The following is a 19,804-nucleotide window of genomic DNA, read 5'->3' as shown; positions in this document are numbered from 1 at the left end:
CCAGAACCCTATCTTCACTAAAACAGATCTGCCCGAGAGTGCTGAAACCGCAGGGCAGCTGCAGACTGCACATGCTCGGCTAGCCACTGAGGCTGGATGCTCAGAGAATGTCCCTGGAGTTTGAGGGGAGGCATCTTCCCCCTTTCAATTTTCCCTTCTTCAGAATGGATGCTAGTCTCAGATACTTGGGAACCCATGTGGGAGGATCGCCTGTGCAATAGAGTGAGACCCCATCTCTAAAAACATGCTGTGTAAAACTTCCTTGCAGGGAAAGGCTTTTGATTGGTCCCAAGATACAGGAGGAGGCACACGGCACTCAGTCCACCCGGGGCCCCGTGATGGTGCCCTCCCCACCCAAAGGTTGGTAGTCTGATGATAGCAGGGCCCTCTGGATCCTTCTACAGGGTTCCTGTTCCTGGCCCAGCTGGGCCTAGCTCCTGTTTGGGGAAGTCAGGCTCTGAGAACAGAAAAATCTGGCTTGTTCCTACCCGCTGCCTCTGGCAAAGCACTCGGCCCAGCAGCCTGGGCCACTTTGAGTGATCTCTAACAGGAAAAGCCACCAGACCATGCCTGCTGTGCCCTTCCTGGCTGAACACGCAGCCAGCTGGAGTGCCTGGCAACACAGCAGCTCATGGCCTTGGGGCCCCAGCTTCTATGACAGTGCAGCACAGACAAAGGCACTAGTCTTCAGAGATCAGGCTGGCAGGGGAGAATCCATTCAGGGCAGGAGAAACAAGAAACAGTGGTGAGATTTACCAAAAACTGTTTATTGCGACTTCCACTGGAAGCTGTTAATAAGCCACATGGCAGCCAAGAGCCAGGTGTGACCTAGATCAGCTGGATGCAAGTGCCTGTCCCTTCATCCACACAACCTGCTGCTCGGGGACCCTGCTAGGATGCGCTTGCTGGCAAACTGGCTAAAACCCAACAGGGAGAAATGATGCTACTGCTCATCATTTCCACCTCCCCACATCCCATGTCCAAGACAATACAGGAAAATGCCACAAGTACCCCTCCAAAATAAACCCGCCTGCGTCTGTCTGTCCTACTGAGGAGCCAGGAGTGTCCTACGGCTCTGCAGCAAACCAGAGACCCAGCACCAGCGAGGCACCAGTCCCTTGCTCGCTGTTCCAGTGACCTCCCCTGCAGAGACCCCAGCCTCACCGGTGTACTCAGTCAGCTCCACAATGCAGGAAAAGTGGGAAGCCACACTCAAGGAAGCGCAGGGTTTCTGATTGGAGCTGTAGTTGGTCCCAGGGGACCTGGCAGAGCCCCAACAGCTGTAGCCCTCATCAACTCTTCTGGAAGACACGGTGCAGGCTTTGGGCCAGGATGTCTGTCTCCTCGTAGCCTTCACAGCTTTGCTGCCAGCTCTCTGGCACCTGATCCATCCCATAGTAGGCACCAGCAATGGCCCCAGCCATGGTGGCAATGGTGTCTGTGTCCCCACCAAGTGAGATGGAATAAATGAGAGTCCTTTGGAGGCTATTGAAGGCAGAAGGGATCTCAGGGTCTGGCTCCATGCAGCGTAGGAAGCAGTAGATGGCGGTGGGTACCGACTCAAAGGCAGCAATGCCATTCCCTGTGGGGAAGCCAGGTTAGAGGGGCTGCATGCTTCCCCAGGCCTCCTACCATTTGACACAAGTCAGCACTCTCGGCTTCAAGCAGGCTGTGACTAAGATCTCAGGCTCTACAGTTAGACCACCTGGGCTCAAATCCTGGCTCCACCACACACTGGCTGCGTGACTGGGAGAGTTACCTAGGGGACCGCTAAGCTTCCTGCTCCCAGATTCAACTCCTTAAGCAGACAGGGAGTAACGTTAGCAACTCTCTGACAGGGCTGTTGTGAGGATGAAGCGAGATCGTGTCTGTGAAGCATTCTGCACAACGCCCAGTATAGATGCTAGACAAATAAAATCCATTATCAACATTTTTACGACTAGTGGCCAGCTGCCATTTCTGGGGACACTGGTCCACAAGGCTGAGGGTGCTGTAGCTTCAGAGCAAGAAGCGCTGAGCTCAACCCTGCCATTGACTCCGTGTCACAGCAGCCCAGGGTACAATGCGACGGCAGGCATGACTCCATGCTCCCCTGAGCCCAAGACCGACCCTGAAGGACGACAGAGGGAGAGACAATCCCAGGCAGACCCACTCACCTAGCTCAGACACCACTTCCTCCCTGGTCACCGATGCCTGGTCTAGAAGCTCTCCAATCTTCTTCAGGCGGCTGGAGTATGGACGCTCCTCCATGCCCAACCTGTGGTTTAGGGGAGATTTCAGGGAGGTCAGAGCTAGCAGGGTGGTGGCGCGGGCAGGGGAGAGGGCTGCATGTGAGAACGAGCAGGGATGTGGTCAGGCTGGCAGCCAGGCACAGGTGCCGACAAGAGGTGGGAGAGGGCTGGGGTGAGCAGGTCGTTTCGTTCTCTGGGACCCTGAGAGCCTTGAAACATAGACAAGATAAAGGGGCTTCTGCCCATGCCTCCCTAGGGTCTGCAATTGAGGAAGGTTTACAGTTTGCGGCAATGCCAGAGGCCCCCTGGATCACCCACATACCCACACCACACACCTCCAGCCCCATACTCACTCCCTGGCATCCAAGACGGACTGGGCATCACCCTCCAGATCCTCCATGTGGCCCAGGAGTTGCTTGAGAAAGTGCTCGCTGGAAGACTCGCCCTGCAAGGCCAGGTGCACAGCCAGGGCCTGCAGGATGGCGCCATTGTAACCCAGGGAGGAGGCGTGTGTCAGCTGGGCCGAGAGCCGGGCAAACTAGGGAGGAGGAGACCTGCTGTCACAGAAGCCCTGCTGCAGAAGAGGAAGGGGACAGCCCAGAAGCCAGCCCGCCCTGAATACCTTCTGCACATCCTGGACACTGCTATAGGCCAGGGAGATGCCAGCCACCCGCATGGCACCTCCATTGCCATAGGAGCCTTTCCCGTTAAACTGGGCCCGGGCAGGCTCAAAGACATCGCGACATTTGGGGTTCAGGAGCTTCTTGAAGACAGTGACTACTCCAGCACCATAGCCCCTGTCAGGGTCTTTCTTGTACTCCTGAGCAAATCTAGGGAACAGAAGGGGAGACAGAATTCAGATTTACAAGATGCCTCTAAGGGTTGGGAGAGAAGAAATCGAGGCTAGTTTGGAAAAAGAGAAAGCCTCGGGGGCCTAAGGAGCCTGCACCAGCAGTGCTGCTGTTTTAGCTTGGGAAGCTGTGCCAGCCTGACACAGGCTTCTGTGGAGGGTTGGGGGCGTGGACATGCACAAATGTCATTCCTCTGGTCAAGGGGTGCAATAACTTTCCCACCTGGTTTGCCTCAGCCCAGGACCATCCCCCTCACCTGTGAGCCATGTCCACCTCGTCAAAGGCCTCCTTGGCTAGCAGGGACTGCACCAGGGCCCTGGCCATGGCTGTGTCATCTGTGTAGTACAAGGCTTCTGTGGGGAGAGGAGGGAGGATGAGAGCCTCCTGCTCACCTTTGTTTTTTTTGTTGTTGTTTTTTGCTTTTTTTGGAGACAGAGTCTCGCTCTGTTGCCCAGACTGGAGTGCACTGGTGCAATCATGGCTCACTGCAGTCTTGAACTCCTGGGCTCAAGCTATCCTTCTGCCTCAGCCTCTCAAGTAGCTGGGACTATAGGCATGCATCATCACACCCAGCTACTTTTATTTTTTTGTAGAGACAGGGTCTCACTCTGTTGTCCAGACTGGTCTTGAATTCCTGGGCTCAAGCAATCCTCCTGCCTTGGCCTCCCAAAGAGCTGGGATTATAGGCCTGAGCCACTGTGCCTGGCCCTGCTCACCTTTTATTTTAGTTTATATTATTATTTTTTTGGTACAGGGTCTCACTCTGTTGCCTAAGCTGCAGTGCAGTGGTACGACCATGGCTCACTCCATCTCGACCTCCCAGGCTCAAGGAGCCTCTTGCCCCAGCCTCCCGAGTAGCTGGGACTACAGGTGCACACCACTGCGCCTGGCTTTTTTTTTTTTTTTTTTTTTTTTTTGTAGAGATGGAGTTTCATCCTGTTGCCAGGCTGGTCTCAAACTCTTGGGCTCAAGTGGACTCTCCCAAAGCGCTGGGATTACAGTTGTGGCTACGGCACCCAGCCTCTACTCATGTTTCAGAGTTACCACATCTAAAATGACCTCAAATCAGTTTCTCACTCCCATTCACTTTCGTGGGCCTGGGAAGCCTTAGGATCTCAGCAATGGGATTTTCAGCAATTCTTTATTCCAAGTCAGTCCTGCTGCTTTCTATTTTATGTATTTATTTATTATGAGCCTACATCATGGTTTGATCTTCTGATTTCTGAAAGAAAACTTCCATCCCCTTGTGGCTGCCATCCTTGCAGCTCCAGTCTTTTTGTTTTTGTTTTGTTTTTCTTTTTTATAGACAGGATCTTGCCATGTTGCCCAGGCTAGTCTCGAACTCCTGGACTTAAGCGATGATCCTTCCACCTCAGTCTCTGGAGTAGCTGGGATTATAGGTGTGCGCCACCATACCCAGATTGAAAATGATAGTTTCTGGATCCAGATCTCCTCCTACTTCACTTCTCTGGAGCACACCACCAGTGATCAGTGTCTTCATTTTGAAATTCTTTTCCTAGGTTTCGTTGATAGCCACTCCTGCTTCTCCTCCTATCAAACTGTTTCCTTCCCTAATCCCCTTCCCTCCCTCCCTCCCTCTTAATTACCGGTGTTCTCCAGGGTTCTGACCATGGCCCTTTCTTCTTACTATGCTACCTGCTCTCCAAGAAGATTCACCTCCTCTGCTTGACCTCACACCTGCTACCTGAGCCGGGATCTGAGCCCACAAGGGAAGGGAAGTTAGTTTTACAGGCGAGACAGCGCATGCAAACGCCTGGCCTAGAGGAATCATGGTGTGAGGAACCGAAGAGCAGAAAGCAAGGCCAAGGCTGGCGGAAAACGAAACTGCAGACGTGTGGGAGGGCCGGACCACGTCGGACACGTTAAGGAATGTGGCTCTGTACTAAGGGTAATGGGAAATCACAGCAGGGTTTTAGGCAGGGGAGGACGCGATTAGAGTCAGGCTTCCAAAGCACGCCTTGCGGGGTGGAGAACGGGCTGGTGGTATACTGACTCTAGAGAACCGGGAAAAAGAGGTCAAGTCGGCAAGGGTGGACAGACAGTCCCCGACTTAGGATGGTTCAACTTAAGTTTTTTTCGGCTTTCTGATAACGCTGATACGCATTCATAGGCTCCTCGACGTCCGATGGGGCTGCGTCCAGATAAAACGGTCGTCTAAGCTGAAAGCGCACTTTCCACTTCAGGTATTTTCAACTTACGATGGGTTTATCCACACCCTGCACGGTTGAGGCCCCGGTGCTGCCACGCCCCGAGCACGGGATGTTCGGGGCGAGACGTCTATAAGGCCGGAGATCGCACTGGCACTCGCTGAGCTCAAGCTGTCTGCGGGTCATCCGGCTCTGGCCCCGGTGCCCTCGGCAGCCTCATCCCCGCGCACCCCCGACCCGTCGCCCCCGGAGGCTCCGCGCCCCTTCGGCCTCCCTCCCGCACGGCCTCTGACTTGCGCCCGGCCCCGCCCACCTGTCCGCTCACTCCCGGGCGTGCCGGGGTCCGGCTCCAGACTCTGGACATGACGCAGGACTGACGTCAGGTCGACGGTGTCGTGGGCCTCGTAGAAGGAGCCCACGCAGTCCCCGAGCAGCGCGCCAGCCAGGCAGCCTCGGAAGCGCGAGAGGGAGCGGGCCGCGCCAGCCCCTCCACCTGCCGCTGCCGCCATCGCCGCTGCGGCCATCCGCGCGCAGACTGCTCGCCACTTCCGGTGCCGCCCTCACAGTTTCCCTACTTCCGTCCGCAGCGCTCCCTGGGGCCTAGAGTTTCCACTCCGCCGCCAGGCCCACAGCGCCGCCCAGCGGCCCGGAGTCGCGGCGCCGCGCACTTCCCGCCAGCCTGTGCTTTGAGTCTCGGTTTTCCGCTCCTCACCACTGGGCTAACTGGGTGGGAAGGCCACTATGGGGTCTCCGGGGGATGGGCACTGAGCCAGACCATTGGATCACTGCAGCCCACACTGCCTTCCGCAGGCGAGCAACCCTAACTCCGCACCCCCAGCCGGCCCTCCCCACCGAGGCCGGGACCACCCCCAAGCCCTCCCACCGGGCCCTTGCCCCCTGTGGGCCTCCCTTAAGCATCAGGAGGGCGGACCAGGGGCCAACTGGGACACAGCCAGGTAGAGGCCGCGCTGCTGCAGCCCAGGAGTGCTGACCCAGCCCAGAGAGGGGTGCCCTGAGGGGAGGGAAAGAACTGGATTTGGTACATGGAGTTCGGAGGAATAGTGTTCCCCATCTTTGCTCCTCCATAGACAGGAGGGTGTTCAAGAACCCTCTCCCTGCTGGCTACATACAGTGGGGCAGAGAACAGCCGGCCTGAGATCCTCTGCATTTATTCCATTCATTTCTCTCCTCCCTCCTTCCATTGCCCACCCAACCCTGCCCTCCTCCTGCAGTCCTCCAAGGCTAGGCCAGCTCCAGCTGGCAGCTTTTGAGTGGACTCAGGGTGCTATTTGTGGTACGTGTGAAGGTGTCCACCTCAGGCACGAACCTCTCAGCAGGCACGGTCAGCTTGCGCCGTGTGTCCATGCACTTGGTGTCCAGCAGCATGGAGTTGGCCTTGCAGGCAATGTCAGCCTGCAGCCGGGCCAGGTGCTTGCACAGGGCGTCCAGTGCGTCCCTAGGGAAGGACATTGACAACCCCCCAGCCCCCATGAGGCTGGGAGGCCTGGGCTGCGTGCATAGCCTTCAGTCAGGAAGACAGCCCCAGGGAGCCAGCAGCCAGCAAGAGGCCCCATTTGTGGGCAGCGTCTCACTGCTCCTTCCGCCCACTCCCGAGACCTACTGTGCTTGCGCCAGCTTCTGCTTCAGGGCAGCGATGGTTGCCTCTAGCTGGTGAACCTCGTCGGTGAGGCCGTACTGTGCCTGGAGGCAGAGGGGTTGGGAGTTCCAAGTCAGCCACACTGTCCTTTACCTGAGTGCTGCCCCTTGACAGCAGTGCCCTTGCTCCATCAGGAATATGAGAAAACCTTGGCTAGGGGGCCCGTGCGCCACTGGGACACCCTCTCACCTGGTCCCGGCAGAGTTCCACGTTGGGCCGGTAGGTTCTGGCCTCTAGCCGGGTATGGGACAGCTTCAGGCTCAGGAGCTTTGTGCGCAGATCCTCCTCCAGGTGCCGGATGTCCTCCTGCAGCTCAGCGATCTCCTCCAAGGTCTGCAGGGGACAGAGTGACTGGTTTCCACCTGCTGGACTCACGTGCATGCCTGGTCCAGTGCCTCCTGGCGGGGGCATGCGGCTTCTCATCCCACAGCAGGAAGTCCAGGCCCCTGGAGATGCTCACATTCTTCTCTTGCCACTTGAGCTCACTGTACACTTTCTCCATCTCCCGCAGCCGCTTCCTGAAGGCAAATTCCGTTGCAACTCTCTGGGCTTCAAGCTCGTTGTTGGTCTGAAGGAGAAAACACAGGGCAAGGGGAGGGTCTACACTCAGGGCTGCCTGAGGATATTACTCAAGCGAGGGGCAGGGGGCCACATGCACAGCAGGGAACAGAAGATAAGGGCTGAGCGCACACTGGGACCATCCATTAGCTGTGGGTGGCCTGTCACCTCAGCAATAGTTAGAGCAGTGGCCTCCCTCAGCTCTGTGGCTGCCTTCATCTCAGCCTCCGCTCGGTCCTTGTTGAACCGACTGAAGTCATCCCACTGCTGGAGTGTGGTGGAGCTGCAGGTGGCAGGGAAAATGGGGGTCATGAGGGTGTGGCCTGGGAGGGGAGGAGAAGAGACTGGCTGAAACACTCTTCTTACCCATCAGGTACACGTGTGGGGTCAACCTTCAGCGAGATGTTTGGGGATCTGAGGTTGAGAGAGAGACAGCCTCTGTCGATCTCTAGTGTCTCCATTTTGCCCCGATGGTCGGAGTTGAGCTGCTGTTGGACTTCCTGCAAGAGGCTGGGGAAAGCGCAGACTCCATCAGGACCATCCCCCAAGGGCCAGAGGCAGGCCTCACTGTACTAAAGGGACACCACAGGAAGAGGAGGCTGGGGTGACCCTTCCCAGCAGAAGACAATGGAGCTTCAGCCACTGAGACCAAGAGCAGCACAGCTGGATGAAAATGCTGCCCCCACATGCCCTACACACCGTAGGATAAAAATGCTGCCCCCACGTGCCCTACACACCCGCAGGATGAAAATCGGATGAAAATGCTGACCCCACGCGTCCTACACACCCGCAGGATGAAAATCGAGTGGAAATGCTGACCCCCATGAGCCCTATACACCTGCGGGGCACACGGATGTAGCTGCGCTCACAAAGGCTCATACACACACACTCACAGGAGCTACTCAGGGGTGGTGGCAAATGGGTGTCACCTCTCATGCTTCCAATCAGTGGATACCGGCTGCCCAGGGCAGGGTCGTGAGAAGTATTCTGAGCCCATGTCCAGGCAGTGGGAAGAGTGCTACAATTGATTAGTGGTTTCTGTCACAGGCACCAGAGGGCCAAAATGTAGCACGAGAGCCAGTTGCTCCTCATCCACAATACCTGTGTTCCACATTGAAGGCACACAGCCTCCAGGGGCCCATGAACATGCGGACGACCTGCCTCTCCCTTACCAGAGCTGCTCGAAGGCCTGGCTGACCTTCTGTTGCAAGGCCTTCTTGGTGGCCTCGATGACCTCCACCTCTTTATGCAGCTCATCCTCCACAGGGTCCTTCACCACATCAATGTCTCGCCGGCTTTCCCGCAGGGTCAGGCACTCAATGGCCACATCCAGAGGCAGGTTCTTGGCCTGCAGGTTTTGCTCTGCTGACTCCTTCATCTAGAAAAGAGGGCGCGGCCGGGCACGGTGGCTCACATCTGTAATCCCAGCACTTCGGGAGGCCGAGTTGGATGGAACACTTGAGGTCAGGAGTTCGAGAACAGCCTGGCCAAAATGGTGAAACCCCGTCTCTACTAAAAATACAAAAATTAGCTGGGAGTGATGGCGCACGCCTGTAGTCCCAGCTACTTTACTCAGGAGGCTGAGGCAGGAGAATCGCTTGAGCCCAGGAGGCGGAGGTTGCAGTGAGCCACGATCACACCACTGCACTCCAGCCTGGGCAACAGATCCAGATGCTGTCTCAAAAAAAAAAAAAAAAAAAAAAAAAGAAAAGAAAGAAAGAAAAAAAAAGAAAAGAAAAGAGTGGGCGGGGGTGCTGGTGGGGCCATCCATGGGGAAGTAGCGCTTGTCCCCACTTTAGCAGGGGGCCAGTGACTCGGATGGACATGCCACTCATGACCCCCCATCAAGGGCTTCTCAACCTAGCTGTGGGGAAGGAGGGGAGGTTTCGGCAGCAGCCCCCGGGCACCCAGTCCTGGATCCCTGCCTGTGTCAGGGCATCGATCTCGGCATCTAAATCTGTCAGACACTTGTCCAGCATCTCCTTCCACCGGTTGACAGTATCAATCCTCTCCACCAGTCGAGTCCTGTTGTCATGTTCATCCCAAATGGTCTGAGAGAGACAGAGCCAGATAGAGAGGGTGTCAAGGGGTTGGGGGCTATCCCTTTGCCCACCCAGCTGAGTTCCCATCCCCAACCTGGTTGTTGGTCTCGTTGCGGAGCACCCGGGCCTCCTGGCGGATCTGATGGGAAGCATCTCGCTGCAGCTGGGCATTGGTGGATAGCAGGTAGCTGTTAGTGTGCCAGTCGGGCAGCTGGAAGCGCCGACTTGGCTTGACGCTCAGCGTGGCCATGGCACAGAAACCAGAAGGGTCAGAAACCCCTAGGCCTGTTCACAGACACCACCTGCAGAGGGAAAACACTGCTGCGGGAGACCTTTCCGGAGACCTCCTGGATCACACGCCCCCTGCGCAGGACTTGTTCCTGTCCATTTTGCTCTGAGCCCTGTCCTGCTGGAAGCCTGCTTGGAGACAGCCCTTGCTTTACTCAACTTTGTGTGAGGTATTAACTAAGTTTCCCTCCCTCCCGTCCCCAGGCGGACACAAACCCCTGGACCTTGCAGGTCCTGGAGCAGGTAAAAAGGAATAATGGAGTCCCGGAAGCCTCGAAGTGTGTGTGAAGTGCCAAATGCCTGGGGGGTAGGCGGATGGCAGAAAAAAATTGCCCTTAATGCATTTTCCACACCTGCCCCCAGCCAACCATGCCTTGTTGATCTTCCTTTCCTTTCTTCCCCAGGCTGCGGGCCAGTCCCCGTGGGGGATCTAAGGGCAGGAGCCCTGTTCTGTCTCCAGGGACGCGTGCCTGTTGGCACTGGGGAGCTGGGGGGCGGCCCCCGGGGCGGCCCCCTCCCCGTCTGGTAGCCGCCACGCCCTCCCGCCCCTCCGCCCTCGCCTACTGTTGGAGGGGAAGGCCGGACAGGGAGAGCCCCGTGGGAAGAGCTGGGGTCAGTCCGGTTCCCCGTCAAACCCCTTTCTTCCCCTCCGCAGGATGATCGCCTTTGGTTTAGATCAGTACCCCGGTCCAGCGCGGAGGAAGGGGGCGCCCCCGCTTCCCTAGCTCCCTTACCTCCTTTCCCGCTTCGCTCTCCGCGCCCCCCGCTCTGAGCTCCAGTGTTTGGCACCACCGGTTGCTAGGCAACCACCCCTCCCCTACCCCCCCAACCCCCCGCGGCCAACGCGGCCTGGGCGCTTCGCTTGGCAACCGCGGCGGCGTCGGGCGGCGTCCCCGGAGGCCTTTAGGGTAGGCGAGGGGCGGCCGGCCGAGCCTGGGAGAGGTGGGGGGCATCAGGGCAGCGCTTTCACTTGATTTACAAATTAAATGAACATTTGTTGTCTTTTCAGACAGGATCTCGCTCTGTCGCCCAGGCTGGAGTGCTGTGGCTCAGTCTCGGCTCACTGCAGCCTGAACCTCCCCGACTGAAGCGATTCTCCCACTTCAGCCTCCCGAGTTAGCTGGGACCACAGGCGCGTGCCACCACACCTGGCTAAATTAAAAAAAAAATTTTTAGTAGAGACAGGGTTTCACCATTTTGCCCGGGCTGGTCTCAAACTCCTGGCCTCAGGCGATCCACCCATCACAACCTCCCAAAATGCTGGGATTACAGATGTGTCACTGCCCCGGCCTAAACAATTTTATTTTGATAAAGGTATGCATAGACATGATAGAAAATACGAAACCAAGTGCAGTGGCTCACGCTTGTAATCCCAGCTACTCCAGAGACCCAGGCGGGAGGAGCGCTTGAGGCTAGGATTTCGAGGTCAGCCTCAGAAACATAGTAGTTGCCAGCAAACGAACAGTACATAGAAAAAGTAGGCTGGGCGCAGCGACTCAGGCCTGAGATCCCAGCACTCTGGGAGGCCGAGACCAGGTGGATCGCTTGAGTCCAGGAGTTGGAGACCAGCCTGGGCAACATGGCGAAACCCCATCTCTACAAAAAATACAAAATTTGGCCAGGCAAGGTGGCTCACGCCTGTAATACCAACACTTTGGGAGGCTGAGGCAGGTGGATCACCTGAGGTCAAGAGTTGGAGACCAGCCTGGCCAACGTGGTAAAACGCTGTTTCTACTAAAAACACAAAAATTAGCCAGGTGTGGTGGCAGGTGCCTGTAATCCCAGCTACTTGGGAGGCTAAGGCAGGAGAATCACTTGAGCCTGGAGGCAGAGGTTGCAGTGAGCTGAGGTGGTGCCACTGCACTCCAGCCTGGGTGACAGAGTGAGACTCCATCTCAAAAAATAGATTAATTAATTAAAATTAAAATCAGGTGCACTCCCCAGCAGGTCCCCTCCAGCAATGGATGGATAGTTAATGTTGTTTACAACATTTCTTCTATTCTGTCTTGCCCAACAACTTTGCCCATCTTGAAGGTCATACAAGGAATGATAAAGGGATGATAATCATGTTTGGAGAGGGCACAACCCTGAGAGAGGTAACTGGGGTATGAGAAGCAATGCTCTGGTGGCACACGCCTATAATCCCAGCTACTCGGGAGGCTGAGGCAGGAGAATTACTTGACCCTGGGAGGCGGAGGTTGCAGTGAGCTGATAACACGCCTCTGAACTCCAGCCTGGGGAACAGAACGAGACTCTGTCTCAAAAAACAAAATGAAACAAAACAAAACACAAAAAAACCAGAGAAGCAATGCTCAATATTCAACCATTTCTTTAAAAAAAGAAGGGAAAAAAAATCATGTTTGTCTTATTGTCTAGTACTGTATTGTCTGGTATTGCCTAGTATTTCTAGGGGTTGGAAAAATATTAACATTTAATCTTCACAACTAATAGGTGAGGTGGGCATTGTCCCCACTTTCTTAGGTAACAAAAGAGACACACTGCTAAAAAGCAGGGAGGGAAACCCAGGTGTTCTGGCCCCACCCAGAGGACACTCTGCTGTGCTCCACACTGCCTCTCATGGGGGGCTGGGATAGAGAGGAAGACAGGTGTGCAGGCCTGGTCCTGTTCTGAGGACTCTGCTGAACCGGATCCTATGAGGTGGGTACTGTTACCATCTTCACTTTATAGGCAGGGAGACTGAGGCATAGGCCAGTGAGGACGTGCCCAGGTCACATCACTAACAAGTGGTACAGCCTGGATTGAAACCCAGGCAGTTGGGCCCAGGGGGAAAGAAGTCCCAGAAGGGTCCTTCAGTTGTAAAACGTCACTGGGGGGATGGGAAGAACAGTAGAGAAGCAAGGGCTTGGTAGGCAATTGGGGGATGAGGTTGGCTTTTGAGCAGTTTTTGAGCAGTTTGAGGTGTACACAGTGGATCCAGCTGCTGCCTAGCAGGCATTGGGGTTGTTTTTTTTTGTTTTGTTTTATTTGGTTTTTTTTTTTTGACAGAGTCTTACTCTGTTGCCCAGGCTGGAGTGCAGTGGCATGATCTTGGCTCACTGCAACCTCTCCTTCCCGGGTTCAAGTGATTCTCCTGCCTCAGCCTCCCGAATAACTGGGACTACAGGCATGCGCCACCACACCTGGCTAATTTTTATATTTTTAGTAGAGACGGGGTTTCACCATGTTGGCCAGGCTGGTCTCAAACTCAAACTCAGGTGATCTGCCCAGCTTGGCCTCCCAAAGTACTGGGATTACAGGCGTGAGCCACCATGCCCGGCCTGACTTGTTAATTGCAAGTCTGTCGTTCAGCAGGACTGAAGCCAGAACACTAATTCCCAAACTCCCTTCATTACAGAGTATTTTTTTCCACAGGTTATTTTGTAAACTCTAATATATGACTTGTAAACTGGACATGAACAAGAATTTGTGATATAGCCTCTTTACCAGGATTGAAGAAGATAGAAAGAAAAAAATCTTGGACAAATTAATTGCAGGAAGAAATGATCAAATTTTGGCTTACATATTTTGCAACAGTGGTATAACACAAAGAAGTAAGCAAATATGGCAGAAGTGTGGTGGCTTTGGCGTCTACTTTTGACCATAGTGGTGGCCCTGTTATTCGTGGCTCCCGGGGTTCCTACACATCCTTCCCGATGGAAGAAGGGGTTGGCCAAAAAGGTCAGCCAGCTGATGGGTTGGACCAAGAAAGACAGAGTGATAAGAATGAGTGACACCATGTTCTATCATTTTGTATTAGATGCACCAAAAAACTATTCTGTTATTGTGATGCTTACTGCTGCTCTCCACGCGTTCAGTTCATGTGTCATGTGCAAAGGTGCTGCTGAAGAATTTCAGATCTTGGCAAATTCCTATCAACGCCCTGGTGCATTCACCACAAAGGTATTTTTTGCAATGGTGGATTATGATGAAAGCCCTGAGGTCTTTGAAGCGCTCCAGGTAACGTCAGTTCCGAGTTTCTTCCACTTTTCTGCCCAATGGAAATTTACAACAGATGACATTTATAATTTGAGAGGAAGGGATATTGTTGCTGACCAAATGGCTGAATGGGTAGCAGAAAGAACACATGTCAGCGTCAGAATCAGACAGCCTACAAATAAATTATCATGGTCTCCTCAAGCCAGGGATACTTCTGGCTCTCATTGGTGGACTTGGGTATTTCTTGAAATGGAATAGGAAATCTATTTCTTGCAGAATTTTGTGCGAAGTTTTAACTCTGTGCTTTGTGATTGTGATGACGTCTGGTCAAATGTGGACTTATATAAGAGGAGAACCATATGTCCAAAGGGACCCTCACACAGGACATAAACATTATATCAGTAAATTTAGTCAGGCTCAGTTTGCAGCAGAAACATTCATTATTTCCCTGTTTAATATGTGTGTTAGCCTGGGAATGGTGCTGTTAGACAAGGCTGCCACCTCTACGATGAACATCAGAAAGAGAAAGATGATGTGTCTGGCTGGTATGTGTCTTGTTGCCATATTCTTCAGTCGGCTGCTTTCCCTCTTTAGATTTAAAGTACCTGACTATCCATACAGCTTTGTCTGGGATTAAAAAGGATCCTACAGACATAGACAATGAAGCAAGAAATTTGAAAAAAAAAATGTGAAGCAGAAAAATGCAAACTCATAGCTTTTTAAAGTAATTGAGATTTCACCAAAAGAGACCATAAGTGCTTTAAGTGCTTTCAAAATCTGTCAAGTATTATGGTATGTATCTTCTCTGTTCTTAATTTTTCTCCCCGAGTGTTATAGATTACCTCAAGTCCAATTATTAAAATCTTTAGAGAGTACAACTTTCATCGAATCAGAACAATGTTTTACAATGTTTAAAAGTACCTTAGTTAATATTAATATTTGGTCAGCTGATCTTATTCTAATATGAAAAATAATCTTTTTTCTTTTCTTTTTTTTTTTTTTTTTTTTGAGATGGAGTCTCACTCTATTGCCCAGGCTGGAGTGCAGTGGTGCAATCTTGGCTCACTGCAAGCTCCGCCTCCTGGGTTCACGCCATTCTCCTGCCTCAGCCTCCCAAAAAGCGGGGACTACAGGCGCCTGCCACCAGGCCTGGATAATTTTTTTGTATTTTTAGTAGAAATGGGGTTTCACCATGTTAGCCAGGATGGTCTTGATCTCCTGACCTCATGATCCGCCCACCTCGGCCTCCCAAAGTGCTGGGATTACAGGCGTGAGCCACTGCGCCCAGCCAAAAAATAATCTTTTTTCTTTTTCTTTTGAGGCAAGGTCTCCCTCTGTTGCTCAGACTGGAGATCAGTGACACAATCTCAGCTCACTGCAACCTCCGCCTCCTGGGTTCAAGCGATTCTCCTGCCTCAGCCTCTTGAGTAGCCGGGACTACAGGCGTGTGCCACTACGCCCGGCTACCTTTTTGTATTTTTAGTAAGGACGGGGTTTTGCCATGTTGGCCAGGCTGGTCTTGAACTCCTGATCTCAAGTGATCCACCCCTTTGACCTCCCAAAGTGCTGGGATTACAGACATTAGCCACAGTGCCCGGCCGAAAAATAATATCTTGACAAGGTATTCCCACACCTGGCCACTGAAGATAATTATTATCCCTCTATGGCAGTGTACATTTGCAGTCTGTTTTGTGGGCAGTGTACATTTGCAGTTGTATTATCTTGTCCCCTGAAGTTTAAATACCTATGTTTAGAGTACACTTCCAAAGCTCAGAGGCAAATACATACTTCTTAGTACTACTACATATCCGTCTCTCCTATTGGAATACACTAGTATGTTTCTTTTTGTTTTTTTCTTTTACCGTGCTTTTTTTTTTTTTTTTTTTCTTAAGACGGAGTTTCACTCTGTCCCCCAGGCTGGAGTGCAGTGAGTGGCATGATCTCGGCTCACTGCAACCTCCGCCTCCCAGGTTCAAGTGATTCTCCCACCTCAGCTTCCCAAGTAGCTGGGATTACAGGCACACGCCACCAAGCCCAGCTAATTTTTGTATTTTTAGTAGAGATGGGGTTTCGCCATGTTGGCCCGGCTGGTGTTGAACTCCTGACCTCAGGTGATCCGCCCGCCTCAGCCTCCCAAAGTGCTGGGATTACAGACGTGAGCCACTGCGCCTGGCTCTTTTACTACGCTTCCTGATAGTTGTAGAAATTACAAACCAGTTAAACACCAGATTACAATTTATCTTTGATTATTAACTACCTTTTATCTGGAAATATTTCAGATATGTTATCTTTTCTTATTTTTCTTTCATGGAGCCAATCTCTAACAAAATAGTATTTCCTATTTCTGTGTTGACTTTGTTGACTTGAGGTTGTTTTCCATTTACTTTAAATCTAAGAGAAAAATAGGTATAAAGACAATTGAGAAGATAAATAATAATTTCATTCACCCATTCTATTTAGGAGCCTGCTAAAATATCAAGTCATTTCCAAAATGGAGAAATACAAAGCTGAACACCCTAATAGTATTTTTGTAATTTTAGTAAAATCTGTTCCATTTCAGCCTTTCTTCCCTCTTAGTGGAAAAACAAAGTACAAATTTAAAGACGTTTTCCCCCTTTATCCTCCTTCTGTCATATGTAAAGTCCTAAACATCTTACTAACATACTTGGCAAATTATAGCAAAGATTTAAGTGGAGGATTTTTTTGTTGTTGTTATTTATTTATTGAGATAGAGTCTTGCTCTGTGGCCCAGCCTGGAGTGCAGCGGTGTGATCTCGGGTCACTGCAACCCCTGCCTTTGCCTTCAAGCGATTCTCCTGCCTCAGCCTCCCGAGTAGCTGGGATTACAGGCGACCGCCACCACGCCCAACTAATTTTTGTATATTTAGTAGAGACGGGGTTTCACCATGTTGACCAGGCTGGTCTTGAACTTCTGACCTCAGGTGATCCACCCGCCTCGGCCTCCCAGTGTTGGGATTACAGGCGTGAGCCACCGTGCCCGGCCCTGGCCTGTTGTTATTTTTAAGACAGAGTCTCACTGTGTTGTTGCCCAGGCTGCAGTGCAGTGGTGTGATCTTGGCTCACTGCAACCTGTCTCCAGGGCTCAAACAATTCTCCTGCCTCAGCCTCCCTAGTAGCCGAGATTACAAGTGTGCACCAACACGCCCGGCGAATTTTTTTGTATTTTTAGTAGAGATAGGTTTCACCATGTTGGCCAGGCTGGTCTCGAACTCCTGGCCTTAAGTGATCTGCGTGCCTCGGCCTCCCAAAGTGCTGGAATTATGAGCCACTGTGCCCGACCTGAGGTTTGTTATTAAATCAAACTCCACCCTTCTCTCTGGAAACTGCCATTTTAAGAAATGTGAGAACTGTCCACGTGAAAATGTTTTTCAAGCAACAACAATATAATGTCACATTAGAAGGATTCTGTCTTAAATTGGGACTGGCTTGGCTATTTACAGTCAAGTAACCCTCTTTCAAGGTCTGGTAGAAGATTTGAAGGTTTTATGTGAGTGTTTGCCAAGGGAGTTGAGTTTAATTATTATTATTTTTAATATTTTTATTAAAATATTAATATTTTTATTAAAATATTAATAATATTTTTAGCAGGAGGTGACTGGGAATAGTTGACCTCTCTCACAGACATTTTTTGTTGTTCATTACTCCATAGGAAATTGCTTAACTTTGACCTTTTTTCCAGCTTGCTTTTCTGCTGGTCCTGTACTTGTCTCAGGCCAAAGAAATTCATGCTGAGATTGTCAAGGCCGAGATTTGGGTGAGGCTAACTCATTTTGCATAGCATACTAGTCAGAGAAATAACGGCCCACTTCAACTACACGGCTGCAGATGATTTGCTCTGGAGGTTAAAACAATGATTCCTACCACCCCATCTGCCCTTCTTATCTTCAAAACCCACTCTTTTTCCATAAGAAAGAAAAGTCTTCAGGGTAAAATAAATGGCAAGTAACTTTGCTGCATTCAGTAAAGTGATATACTTTTGTGCAGATTTTCAGATTAATATCTAAAGAATCTTAGACAACAGTAATAGTTTTATGAATGGTCTAGATAGCACCTATGAATATGTATTTTTAAATACGATTCAAAGGGATACCACAGATGGCAAACTTTCATAGTCTAAAATCTTTATACAAGCACAAATATAAATTGGAAAAAATTAAGATTAAACTTACAAAACAAAATATAAAAAGATGGTTAATCTTTTTTTTTTTTTTTAAACAGAGTCTCGCTGTGTCGCCGAGGCTGGAGTGCAGTGGTGCGATCTTGGCTCACTGCAACCTCTGCCTTCTCGAGACTGCCTCAGGCAACATGGTGAAACCCTGTCTCTACAAAAACTACAAAAAGCAATTCTCCTGCCTCGGCCTCCTGAGTAGCTGGGACTACAGGTGTGCACCACCACGCTTGGCTAATTTTTTTTCTTTTTTCTTTTTCTTTTCTTTTTTTTTTTTTGAGACTGAGTCTCGCTCTGTTGCCCAGGCTGGAGTACAGTGGCGGGATCTCGGCTCACTGCAAACTCCACCTCCTGGGTTCATGCCATTCTCCTGCCTCAGCCTCCCGAGTAGCTGGGACTACAGGTGCCTACCACCACGCCCGGCTAATTTTTTTGTATTTTCAGTAGAGACGGGGTTTCACCGTGTTAGCCAGGATGATCTCGATCTCCTGACCTCGTGATCCGCCTGCTTCGGCCTCCCAAAGTGCTGGGATTACAGGCGTGAGCCACTGTGCCCGGCCATTTTTATATTTTTAGTAGAGACAATACAAATACATTTTTGTATTTTTATACAAATATAATTATACAAATACATTTTTGTATTTTTAGTAGAGACAGGGTTTCACCACGTTGCCCAGGTTGGTCTCGAACTCCTGACCTCAGGTGATCCACCCGCCTTGGCCTCCCAAGTGCTGGGATTACAGGTGTGAGCCACGACGCCTGGCCAGTTAATCTTAATTTTACATGTGTATAAAATACATGTGAAAACCATCTGAATGCTGGTGCTGACTGAAATCCTGTCTGGTGCAGCATCAGACCATTCCTATGGTTTTTTTTTTTTTATTTTTGCTTTGGAATATAATATGCAAATTCTATTTAGCAACATAGTTACAGTAAAGGAAGAGTAATATTATACATTTAATAGTTTCAAGTGCTTTTGTTTTGTTTTTGACACTGGGTCTCACTCTGTCACCCAGGCTTAAGTGTAGTGGCACATGCAGCCTCCATGTCCTGGGCTCAAGTGCTCAAGTGATCCTCCCACCTCAGTCTCCCATGTAGCTGGGACTACAGGAGCATGTCGCCATGCCTGGCTAATTTTTGTAGTTTTTGTAGAGACGGGGTTTCACCATGTTGTCTGGGGTGGTCTCGAACTCCTGGACTCAAACAATCCACCCACCTTGGCCTCCCAAAGTGCTGGGATTACAGGCATGAGCCACCATGCCCAGCCTCAGGTACTTTTGAATTGGCCTATTTTTAAAATCATTTAGCAAAGCCTATTAAAATTTTGTTTCAGTTGAGAACTGAACATATTGGACTTCATGATACTAAGCCACTAAGGTATCTGTTTTGTTTATAATTATAAATTTTGAACCCCAGCGTTATTCTTAAGAAAAAAAGTCTTTTTTTGAGACTGGGTCTTGCTCTGTCACCACACTGGAGTGTAGTGGCGCAATCTCAGCTCACTGCAACCTCCATGCACTGCAACCTCCGCCTCCCAAGCTCAAGTGATCCTCTCACCTCAGCCTCTCGAGTAGCTGGGATTATAGGTTCACTACCATGCCCAGCTAATTTTTTGTATTTTTTGTAGAGATGGGATGTCATCATGTTGCCCAGGCTGGTCTCAAACTCCTGAGTTCAATCAATCTACCTGCCTCGACCTCCCAAAGTGCTGGGATTACAGGTGTGAGCCACTGCACCCAGCCCAAGAAAGATATTTTAATAGGGAAAAGTACAAGAAAAGTACTACTTTATAAAGGCATTGTAGCTGGGCGCGGTGGCTCACGCCTGTAATCCCAGCACTTTGGGAGGCTGAGGCAAGGGGATCACTTGCGGTCAGGAGTTCAA

The 19,804-nt window shown here is 51.2% G+C and overlaps 2 protein-coding genes and 1 pseudogene across 6 annotated transcripts, besides 6 other annotated features; 1 reads left to right on the top strand and 2 right to left on the bottom strand.

Annotated features, from left to right (window-relative positions):
* ADPRS (ADP-ribosylserine hydrolase) lies at nt 747-5,787 on the bottom strand. Of its 2 annotated transcripts, NM_017825.3 has the most exons (6): nt 5,564-5,787; nt 3,339-3,435; nt 2,854-3,061; nt 2,585-2,769; nt 2,157-2,257; nt 747-1,582 (listed from the first exon to the last, which is right to left on the bottom strand). In NM_017825.3, the coding sequence occupies exons 1-6, from the start codon at nt 5,772-5,774 to the stop codon at nt 1,293-1,295; spliced, it is 1,092 nt and encodes a 363-aa protein (NP_060295.1). In that variant the 5' UTR covers nt 5,775-5,787; the 3' UTR covers nt 747-1,292. The 2 variants fall into 2 exon arrangements, with proteins under 2 accessions (NP_060295.1, XP_011539938.1); XM_011541636.3 differs by lacking the exon at nt 3,339-3,435.
* Nucleotides 5,114-5,698: an enhancer, noted in NCBI's record as "H3K27ac-H3K4me1 hESC enhancer chr1:36554582-36555166 (GRCh37/hg19 assembly coordinates)". NCBI's record gives its function as "activates a minimal SCP1, AML or CMV promoter by ChIP-STARR-seq in primed H9 embryonic stem cells {active_cell/tissue: H9 hESC(primed)}" and the evidence as "EXISTENCE:reporter gene assay evidence [ECO:0000049][PMID:30033119]".
* Nucleotides 5,114-5,769: a biological region, named in NCBI's record as "H3K27ac-H3K4me1 hESC enhancer GRCh37_chr1:36554582-36555166".
* Nucleotides 5,340-5,769: a silencer, noted in NCBI's record as "silent region_653". NCBI's record gives its function as "represses an Ori minimal core promoter by ATAC-STARR-seq in GM12878 lymphoblastoid cells {active_cell/tissue: GM12878}" and the evidence as "EXISTENCE:reporter gene assay evidence [ECO:0000049][PMID:35858748]".
* Nucleotides 5,699-6,284: an enhancer, noted in NCBI's record as "H3K27ac-H3K4me1 hESC enhancer chr1:36553996-36554581 (GRCh37/hg19 assembly coordinates)". NCBI's record gives its function as "activates a minimal SCP1, AML or CMV promoter by ChIP-STARR-seq in primed H9 embryonic stem cells {active_cell/tissue: H9 hESC(primed)}" and the evidence as "EXISTENCE:reporter gene assay evidence [ECO:0000049][PMID:30033119]".
* Nucleotides 5,880-5,969: a silencer, noted in NCBI's record as "silent region_652". NCBI's record gives its function as "represses an Ori minimal core promoter by ATAC-STARR-seq in GM12878 lymphoblastoid cells {active_cell/tissue: GM12878}" and the evidence as "EXISTENCE:reporter gene assay evidence [ECO:0000049][PMID:35858748]".
* TEKT2 (tektin 2) lies at nt 6,404-10,585 on the bottom strand. Of its 4 annotated transcripts, none has more exons than XM_005270753.3 (10): nt 10,149-10,585; nt 9,602-9,809; nt 9,391-9,516; nt 8,638-8,843; nt 7,832-7,975; nt 7,634-7,748; nt 7,368-7,475; nt 7,097-7,240; nt 6,872-6,951; nt 6,404-6,706 (listed from the first exon to the last, which is right to left on the bottom strand). In XM_005270753.3, exons 2-10 carry the CDS (start codon nt 9,755-9,757, stop codon nt 6,493-6,495), a joined length of 1,293 nt encoding a protein of 430 aa, XP_005270810.1. In that variant the 5' UTR covers nt 9,758-9,809; nt 10,149-10,585; the 3' UTR covers nt 6,404-6,492. The 4 variants fall into 4 exon arrangements, with proteins under 4 accessions (XP_005270810.1, XP_011539560.1, XP_016856544.1 ...); XM_011541258.4 differs by having other exon boundaries at nt 10,360-10,585; XM_017001055.2 differs by having other exon boundaries at nt 10,479-10,585.
* Nucleotides 9,217-10,015: an enhancer, noted in NCBI's record as "H3K4me1 hESC enhancer chr1:36550265-36551063 (GRCh37/hg19 assembly coordinates)". NCBI's record gives its function as "activates a minimal SCP1, AML or CMV promoter by ChIP-STARR-seq in naive H9 embryonic stem cells {active_cell/tissue: H9 hESC(naive)}" and the evidence as "EXISTENCE:reporter gene assay evidence [ECO:0000049][PMID:30033119]".
* On the top strand, nt 13,345-14,359 carry LOC100128093 (magnesium transporter 1 pseudogene; annotated as a pseudogene).

This window comes from Homo sapiens, chromosome 1 (genome assembly GCF_000001405.40).
Source record: "Homo sapiens chromosome 1, GRCh38.p14 Primary Assembly".
NCBI classification, from domain to species: Eukaryota; Metazoa; Chordata; class Mammalia; order Primates; family Hominidae; genus Homo; species Homo sapiens.
This window is presented reverse-complemented; position numbering and strand designations above follow the sequence as displayed.